The following is a 10,282-nucleotide window of genomic DNA, read 5'->3' as shown; positions in this document are numbered from 1 at the left end:
AAATCCCTGTGATATGAGTTTATCCATATAACGAACCTGCACATGTATTCCTGAACCTAAAATACAAGTTAAAAAAAACCCCGGCCGGGCGCGGTGGCTCACGCCTGTAATCCCAGCACTTTGGGAGGCCGAGGCGGGTGGATCACGAGGTCAGGAGATCGAGACCATCCTGGCTAACAAGGTGAAACCCCGTCTCTACTAAAAATACAAAAAATTAGCCGGGCGCGGTGGCAGGCGCCTGTAGTCCCAGCTACTTGGGAGGCTGAGGCAGGAGAATGGCGTGAACCCGGGAAGCAGAGCTTGCAGTGAGCCGAGATTGCGCCACTGCGGTCCGCAGTCCGGCCTGGGCGACAGAGCGAGACTCCGTCTCAAAAAAAAAAAAAAAAAAAAAAAAAAAAACCCACAACATTTTCTTCTCTCAAGTATTTTATTCTGAAGTTGAAGGGAATGATCTTTTCTCGTAGGTGCTCCGAAGTCCGTCAGGATGCAACGTGTACCCCTAATTGTCTTCTGGATTATGTGGTTCCATATCTGAATCTCTGCTCAGAACTTCTTCTCTATTGACTGCTAATCACTTTTTGTCATTTTGAGATCATTTGCTACTATTATGTTTGGTGTGGAGGTTATGTGTGGTGTGGAGGTTATGTGGTCCCTGCAAAGGGAAGAATTCTGTGTTTTCCATTACGACATTGTTCCAAATATGGACACAAAGTCGTACTTTTAACTCACTGAGCGTAGTTTCGATTACCAAAATTTATACAGAGTACTAGATATGACTACTATAAAATGGAGATAATGAGATAAATTTTGCCTTCGTTGTTAGGATAAATGATTAAGCACTAAACAAAATTTGCCTTTGTTGTTAGGATAAATTACTAAGCACTATCAAGTACTTAGTATAATATAGTTATGTTATAATTTCTATAATGTACTAAATAGGCTATACTATAATTATCTAAAATACCATAAATATAAATAGTAGGTGTTATTATCCACAGACCGAAGGAAATTTTCATCAATATTATACTTTCCTTTGTAGCTACATTCCTGTCATCCAATACAAAACGCTAGTCTTTTAAAATTTCTGTCTCTTAAACAGTCCTCAGGCACACTTCACACCACTACTTGAAATCAGGCTCCAAGAAAATGTGGCATAGGTAGAGGAAAAATTCCCCAACTCTCAGGCCTTGTCTGTCCCATGATTTGCCTCTTTCCCAGATGATTATAAGTGAGAATATCCTCTGACTTAAAGGGAGACCTCAGTCCCTACCAATTAGGAGTGTATTGTCCTGGGAACCCAAATGGAATAATTTCTTCTTAATACGACAAGCTAGTATCATTATTGTTCCTAAAGTCTTATTTATTCAGTCTTAAATAATACCATATGAAAGACCAATAAGCCAGTTCAGGTTTAAATTGAACCAGCCTCGACATTGCCTAATTCATTTGTACATATTTCCTTCCATTATAAGTGAGAATTTTGGTGCACCAAGTCTAGTTTCAGCTCCCATGTACTCAACAATGGCTTGAACAAGAGCACATTTCCATAAGAATAGATAACATTTTGCAGACACATCACAGCTTAAATTAATAGTTAATGAACAAACATTTGTCCAAAAAAAGTCCAAGACAACTAACACTTTATATAATGCAAACAACTTTTTACACTATCACGCAGAGTATTTTGGCTCTTTAAAATCACTTCTCTCAAATTTATTTCTCGTGATGCTCTTTTACTTTATATTTGCATAACTTAATAGTTAAGTAGATCATTTGAGTAATTTTCCAAGAAAAAAGGCACAAAAAGATGTTCTTAAAGATAAAAGGGAAAGTTATTTAACTATTGGCTCAGTCACCAGCAACTCATTTTTTCTGGCCTTTGGATGTATGTGAGATGAGCTTCATTAGTTAGTAACACTGAGTACAATGCACACTAAGTAATTTGCTTCCTTCTTTGATCACCCAACATACACATTTCACAAAGAGAGGGATGAGGGATAAATAGGAACAGTTACACGATTAATATGGAGTCCTTCCTCTAGGCAGAGTTTGTTCCAGATCTCTCTTGCCTAGTTGGAAACCACACTAGTAATTCGAACAAGGGAAATTTAATATGGGAATCAGTAGGTAGGTCAGTGGTGGTTAATGCTAGAAGGAAAATGTAAGTCAAACAGATGTAGCTCCTGCAGGGAGTAGCAACCACCACTGGAACTGAAGAAAAGTGAACAAGGAAAGAATTTAGAAAGTTAGAGGAAGGCCCTACAAGCTAGATATTCAAGTTTCTGATAAGAGTTATGGATGCCATAGAAACATGCTGCCTGCCACTACGGTAAGGGAGAGCATAATAGAAGTTGCCTACCCATGAACTCCCTGTGTAGGCTAGGAAGCACTAGCCACTGAAGCAGGAGGGCTACGGCCACGGTGATAAACACTGCCAGGATTCCTTCCTGCTGATCCACTTGCCACTATATAAACAGAACAGAGGAAAAAGGATGCCACTTCTTCCACCCTTGCAGTGTCCCTGCAGCACCCTGTATTGGGAGATCCTAACATAGAATCAGCCAATGAACGAGAAGGGGTGTCTGCAGAGTCCAGTTTTAGAATAAAAAATCAGAGCAAAGAGGATAGATCATAACTGGCACACGTTTTAACATCCACCCTGGGACAAGAGACAAAGCCTTGGACCCACATAAAGGGAGGAGCCTGAGAAGTATACATAAAGTCAGAACCCTTAGAAGATCTCACTCTGGATAAAAGCCACCTAGTCTACTGGGAGATGAAAACAGAAATTTGTTACTACTTAATTTTTTTTTCAATAGCTTTTGGGGGAAAGTTTATTACTATGGGTGTGATCTGAGTTGGAAAAAAAGGCCTGTCTTCTTTCTAGTTAAAAGAGTTGGAATTCACATTAACCTTAGGGTCTTGGAACCCCAGTCCAGAAATTAACATAAAAAGTCGTTTGGGGCCAGGCATGGTGGCTCACACCTGTAATCCCAGCACTTTGGGGGGCCAAGGCATGCGGATCACTTGAGGTCAGGAGTTCAAGACCAGCCTGGCCAACATGATGAAACCCCATTTCTACTAAAAATACAAAAACTAGCTAGGTGTGGTGGTGGGTGCCTATAATTCCAGCTACTTGGGAGGCAGGGGCAGAGGCAGGAGAATGACTTGAACTCGGGAGGCAGAGCTGAGATCATACCATTGCACTCCAGCCTCGTGACAGACTGAGACTCTGTCTCAAAAAAAAAAAAAAAAAAAAAAAGAAAGAAAAGAAAAGAAAAAGAAAAAGGAAAAAGAAAAAGAAAGTGGTTTGGGGCAGCAATGTCCTTGAGATTTCTTGGAAAGCAAAAAAGTTACTCTGGGTAGACATACCTTTTATCTAGGTTGTACAAGATTCCCACAGATATAAAGCCACACTGAAAATGAGCCTGCAATCACAAAATGCCATGACTATTGGCAGACATTAAGGAATAGCAGGAAAAAAAAACCTCATTCAATTTATAAAATAAATACAGCAAAGAAATCAGATGGACACTATAAAATAAGCATGTTTACAATGATTGATGCCATAAAAAGCAAGGAAATACTAAAGAGCTATTAAAATGAAACAGAACTGGCCGGGTGTGGTGGCTTACACCTGTAATCTCTGCACTTTGGCAGGCTGAGGAGGGAGGATCACGAGATCAGGAGATCGAGACCATTCCTGCTAACACGGTGAAACCCTGTCTCTATTAAAAATACAAAAAATTAGCCAGGTGTGGTGGCAGGTGTCTGTAGTCCCAGTCACTCAAGAGGCTGAGGCAGGAGAATGGTGTGAACCCGGGAGGTAGAACTTGCAGTGAGCCAAGATTGCGCCACTGCACTCCAGCTTAGGTGACAGAGCGAGACTCTGTGCCCACCCCCATACCGCCCCCGCAAAAAAAAAAAAAAAAAAAAAGAAATAACAAAAATACAGAGACACTGAAATTAAATAATTAATGGAGAGATTTCTCCTAATTTCTAATATGTAGAAGGGTGTGAAGGACACATGGTAACAAGAAAAACCTTAAAAAAACTAAAATATTTTTCTATGACATCAGTCAGGAAGTATGTCCAGAATTGGTGGGTTCTTGGTCTCACTGACTTCAAAGATGAAGCCGCAGACCCTCGTGGTGAGTGTTACAGTTATTAAAGATGGTGTGTCTGGAGTTTGTTCCTTTCTGATGTTCGGATGTGTTAGAAGCTTGTTCCTTCTGGGGGGTTCGTGGTTTTGCTGGCTTCAGCAGTGAAACTACACACCTTCGTGGTGAGTGTTAGAGCTTTTAACGCAGCTCATCTGGAACTGTTCGTTCCTCCAGTCCGGAGTTGTTCATTCCTCCTGACGGGTTCACAGTCTCGCTTACCTCAGGAGTGAAGCTACAGACCTTCCTGGTGAGTGTTACAGCTCATAAAGACAGTGCAGACCCAAACAGACAGCAACGGCACGATTTATTCCAAAGAGCAAAAGAACAAAGCTTCCACATTGTGCAAAGGAACCCAAAAGGGTTACCGCTGCTGGTTCCCCGCAGCCTGCTTTTATTCCCTTATCTGGCCCCACCCACATCCTGCTGATTGGTCCATTTTACACAGAGCTGATTGGTCCGTTTTACAGAGAGCTGATTGGTCCATTTTGACAGGGTGCTGATTGGTGCGTTTACAATCCCTGAGCTAGACACAGAGTGCTGATTGGTGCATTTACAATCCTCTAGCTAGACACAAAAGTTCTCCGAGTCCCCACTAGATTAGCTAGACACAGAGCACTGATTGGTGCATTTACAAACCTTGAGCTAGACACAGAGTGCTGATTGGTGCATTTACAATCCTCTAGCTAGACATAAAAGTTCTCCAAGTCCTCACCGGACTCAGGAGCCCAGCTGGCTTCACCTAGTGGATCCCATGCTGGGGGCCAAGGGCGGAGCTGCCCACCAGTCCCTCGCCGGGTGCCTGCACTCCTCAGCCCTTCGGTGGTCGATGGGACCTGGCACCACGGAGCAGGGGGCAGCGCCTGTCAGGGAGGCTTGGGCCGCACGGGAGCCCAGGGCACAGGGGAGGCTCAGGCATGGCAGGCTGCAGGTCCCAAGCCCTGCCCTGCGGGGAGGCAGCTGAGGCCTGGTGAGAATTCGAGCACGGTGCTGGTGGGCCAGCAGTGCTGGGGGACCCAGCGCACCCTCCGCAGCTGCTGGCCCTGGTGCTAAGCCCCTCACTGCCTGGGGCCGGCAGCGCCCGCCAAGCGCCGGGCCTGCCGAGCGCGCGCCTACCTGGAACTCGCGCTGGCCTGCAGCCGCGTGCAGCCCCGGTTCCCGCTCGCGCCTCTCCCTCCACACCTCGCCACCAGCTGAGGGGGCCGGCTCGGGCCTCGACCAGCCCAGAGAGGGGTTCCCACAGTGCAGCGGTGGGCTGAAGCGCTCCTCAAGCGTGGCCAGAGCAGACGCTGAGGCCGAGGAGGCGCTGAGAGCGAGTGAGGGCTGCTAACATGTTGTCACCTCTCAGAAGGAACAATAAACAAAAGAAAGTCCTAATGAAAAGCAAATTACAAGGTGGTCAACTTAAACCAACCATATAAATAATTACCTTAAATGTAAATGGACTAAGCACACTAGTTAAAAGGTAAGATTTTTTTTTTCAGACAGGATAAAAAAAGACCAACTATACGTTGTGCACAAGAGATTCACTCTTAATACAAAGACACAGATATGTTAAAAGTAAGGAAGGAAAAATATGTAACCATATAAACACTAATCATAGTCATAGAGCTGGTATAATTTATTAATATCATACAAATTAAATGTCAGTATAAGCAGCATTACCAGTGATAAAGAGGGATGTTGTATTATGATAAGAAGCTGCACTAGTCAAGAAGACATAACAATTCTAAATGTTTGTGTAACTAATATTCGACTGAGACTCTAATTGCCATGTTGGAGAGACTCCGTGGAGGAGAATGAAGTGGGTTAGCTGACAGCTCCAGCTGAGCTCTCAGCTGGCAGCCAGGCCAAACTATAGGAGGTCATTTAAGCCTTCTAGTGTCCAAATTTTAGCTGGTACCATATGAACCAGAAGAATCACCTTGTCACTCAACAGGATTGTGAGAAATAATAAAATTGTTGTTTTAAGCCACTTTTTGGGGTGGTTTGTTATGCAGCAATAGATAATGGAAATAAAACTTAAATCTGAATTAGCAATAAAAGTATGTTATTTAATGATACAAAAGTAATAGCAAAAGGAGTCAGTAAAAAAAATTAAATTGGGGCCAGGCACAGTGGCTCACGCCTGTAATCCCAGCACTTTGGGAGGCCGAGGCAGGTGGATCATGAGATCAAGAGATTGAGACCATCTGGCCAACGTGGTGAAACCCCGTCTCTACTAAAAATACAAAAGTGAGCTGGGCATGGTGGTGCATGCCTGTAGTCCCAGCTACTCGGGAGGCTGAGGCAGAAGAATTACTTGAACCCCGGAGGTGGAGGTTGCAGTGAGCCAACACCGTGCCACTGCACTCCAGCCTGATGACAGAGCGAGACTGCATCTCAAAAAAAAAAAAATTAAATTGGTTGATTGGTTGCCTCTTTGATACATTAAACTATTTGCTCGTATTACCTTAATACAAATAAAAAATTTTTAAGACAAAGAAGAGAACTTATGTGCTAATAAAAAAGCCTGAAGAAGTTACCCAGAATTTAGTATATGAAGATGAAAATAGCAAAGAGAGGAATTCCAGAAGAAGGAGCAATAAAGAATGGGGTATGGAAATATTCAAAGATATAATATTTCAAGTATCATTAACACTTGAGATATGAAACCTAAGATTATGAAATAGAATTCCTGAGGAAAATAAATAAAAAGAAATCTATATCTATATACATCATGTGAAAACTAAAAAGCATCCAAGTCAGAAGATCTCAAAAAGAAACAGAGAAGAGACATATTATATTTATAGGATGATGAACCCTCAACAGACTTCAACAGCAACAATAAAAATCAGGACACCATGAAGTAATATATTAAAAGAGCTGAAAGAAAATAATACTTACCAGCCTGGGTAACATGGTGAAAACTCATCTTTACAAAAAATACAAAAATTAGCTGGGCCTGGTGGTGAACACCTGTAGTCCTAGCTACTAGGGAGGCTGAGGTGGGAAGATCGCTTGAGCCTGGGAGATGGAGGCTGCAGAGAACTGTGATAGTGCCACGACACTCCAGCTCTGGTGACACAGCAAGACCCTGTCTCCAAAAAAAAAAAAAAAAAAAAAAGAAGAGAAAATAATACCTAACTACTGTTCAACAGTGACAGCAAAAAAGAAAAATAGGTATCTGCTATCTATGGAATCACACAGCTATGGCATTTACTATGGTTAAGACATTGAAATCCTTTCCCACCGGTTGGTAGATAGCTGCTGCTCCAAGCCTTCTGGAGCATCCTTTTCTCATAATGTCAGCCACTAGCCTTTCCCATAGGACCCTCCCTCCCAGCTCTCAAAAATCCAACAACTGAAAGGTTGATGCTTGGCACATAAAGAGGCTTCCAGGACCTTGCGCCAGCCCTGTGGTTCGTGTCTCCTTTGATTGGCTAGGCCCTGCCCGTCTGTCAAATCCGGCCTCCTAGCGAGCCCGCAAAGGACTGTCCTATTTCTTCTCTGAGTCTAGCACCTGGCCCTTGGGGAAATGGGTGCTCTGTGCACCACTTGGAGTTTGTGCAGGTTCCTGCCAGCCTACAGGCCTGCAAGCCAAGTTGCTGTCTATCCGATGTGCTAGCTCTCATCAGACAATGTTCTCCTGGCCAAAATGAGCATATATCTTACTGATAGCAGCACTTGTACCCTGTAGGCAAATGCCCAATACCAGGCTGGCTGCCTATCCAATGCTGTGGCCAACTGCTGCAGGTTACACTCCTTGGATTAATCTTTGAGTGGCCATCATGGGAATTGTAATCTTCTTAGGACTTTGAGAAAGCCACGGAGAAACAGAAAAAACAGTTATCAGCCAGTAATGGAAAACCATTCAGGTAAACCTAACTAATATCTAAACTAATATAGATAGCTAAAATCAGTTTCTGTTGCTTGTAACCACATACACTGATACACCCCATGCCTGTTGCTCTTCCAGTGTCTCATTTCCCAGGGAATGCTACCACTACTTACTGGCTGTGTGACCTCAGGCAAACTACTTAACTATTCAGTTCTTTAATTTCCTCATCTGTAAAGTGGGGATAATAAAGGAATCAACATGAAGCAATGTTGTGAGGATTAAATGGGTTACTATGTGTAAAACATGTAAAACAGTACCTGGCAGGTAGCATTACTATCTAAGTGTTGACTTTTAAGATTTTGAGTCAATTATCAGTTTTAGGATCAGGCATCACTTTTTCAGGGAAGGCTCCTCTAACTTCCTGAAGTCAAAAACCTTTATTCTAGGCTCTTTCCCACCTTTTCTCATAGCACCAGTCACAGTCATAATTTTACATTGATTTATGTAATTGCTTTTCTTAACCTAGATATTGACTACACAGGTGTTCACTGTATTCTTTTACTTTAAGCTGTACATATATATTTTTAAATTTTTATCAGATTTTTACACATTTTACTAGGGAATAATTGACATACAATAAGCTGCTCATATTTAAAGTGGACACTTTTATAAGCTTTCAAATATGTATGAAACTGAACCAATAGTCCCATAGACTGTTCTTTTGGATAAACATAGAAATTGACCATTTTGTTCTTAAAGCTTGAAACTCATATTTGTTTTATCTGAGTTCTTTCCTCAGGAAACAACATTCAGGCCTCTCAAAAAGGCACCAAAGAACTGAAACTCATCAGATCACGGCAGCAGATGCAGGACCCCCTCACTCACCATGATTGGCCCGTCCTAGTTGTTGTTTTCTTACATATTGTTACATTTCTTCCCTGCTAATATAAACCCCTGGTTTTAGTTACTCAGGGAGATGGATTTGAGACTGAGCCCCCATCTCCTCAGGTGCAACACCCAATTAAAGCCTTCTTCCTTGGCAACACTTGTCTCAGTGATTGGCTTTTGTGCAGTGAGCAGTAAGACCTAGACCAAACCCCTGGTGTTTCAGTAATATGTATACATTTGTGAAAATATCACCACAACAAAGCCTATCAAAATTTTATTTCCTGTAGAGCTCAAAGCCTTTGGAAATATTTTTCTTGTTGTTGGAGTACTTTTTCCAAATATAGTTTCAGACAAGATCTTTATGTGATGAATGTTCTGATGCCTTGTGTGACTGAGAGTTTCTGGTTCAGTCACACACCGATATAATAGTTTAGTTTTATGTAAAATTCTAGATTTAAAATTATTTCAATTCTTTGAAAAGATTATTCCATGTTATTGTTGCATGCCAGTTTTATTATTGTATCTTTTATGTGATTATTTGACTCATGCCTTTACCCACAACTAGACTATAAACTCCACGAAGGCAGAAGTCATGTTGTTTTTGCTCAATCTTGTACCTGAGTATCCAGCACAGTGCCTAATAGGTGCTATTCACATTTGTTGAGGGCCAGGCATAGTGACTTATGCCTGTAATCCCGTGCTTTGGGAGACCAAAGCAGGAGAATCACTTGAGACCAGGAGAATCACTTGAGACCAGGAGTTCAGGGCTATAGTGAGCTATGATCATGCCATTGCACTCCAGCCTGGGCAACTGAGAAAGAGCCTGTCTCTAAACAAACAAAACACATCATTGAATGAGAGTTAGTGGGAGGCAAGACTAGAAAGATATTTGGGATAATGTTTTGGATGGCCTTGACTGCCAGTTGGAAGAACTTACATTACATTTTGTAAGCAATAGATTTAGAGAAAGTTGTAAAATTGTGTAGTGACATAATTAGAGCAGCACTTTAGGAGGCTTTTCTGAGAGCAGTATGTTGGATATATTGGAGTAGGGGAAACCAATTACAGTGCCATAGCAACAATGTAGAAGAGAAAAATGAAGGCATTAATTCAGATGCTGGGTATGGGAATTTGAAAGTGAAGACATATTTGAAACAGGACAGAACTTCACAGGGGTTGCTGAACCTGTCTAGATGATTTCTAAATTTCAGCTGTGGATCAACAGAAATAGGGAATTTCAGGTAAGTTCTGAGTTAGGTTTTAAACGTCTTTTGTTTAACATGCTGTTGGAATATTCGTATCACGATAAACAGGAAAAAGCTGAAAATTTGTCTATAGAGCTCAGGACATAGGTCAAAACTAGAGAAATGGTCTATTTTTAAATAGGGCTGGTCAACTCTGTGTTCATGAGTAT

This window comes from Homo sapiens, chromosome 4 (assembly GCF_000001405.40).
Source record: "Homo sapiens chromosome 4, GRCh38.p14 Primary Assembly".
In the NCBI taxonomy this organism is placed as follows: Eukaryota; Metazoa; Chordata; class Mammalia; order Primates; family Hominidae; genus Homo; species Homo sapiens.
The sequence above is the reverse complement of the archived record's forward strand: the minus strand, read 5'-3'. Positions refer to the sequence as shown.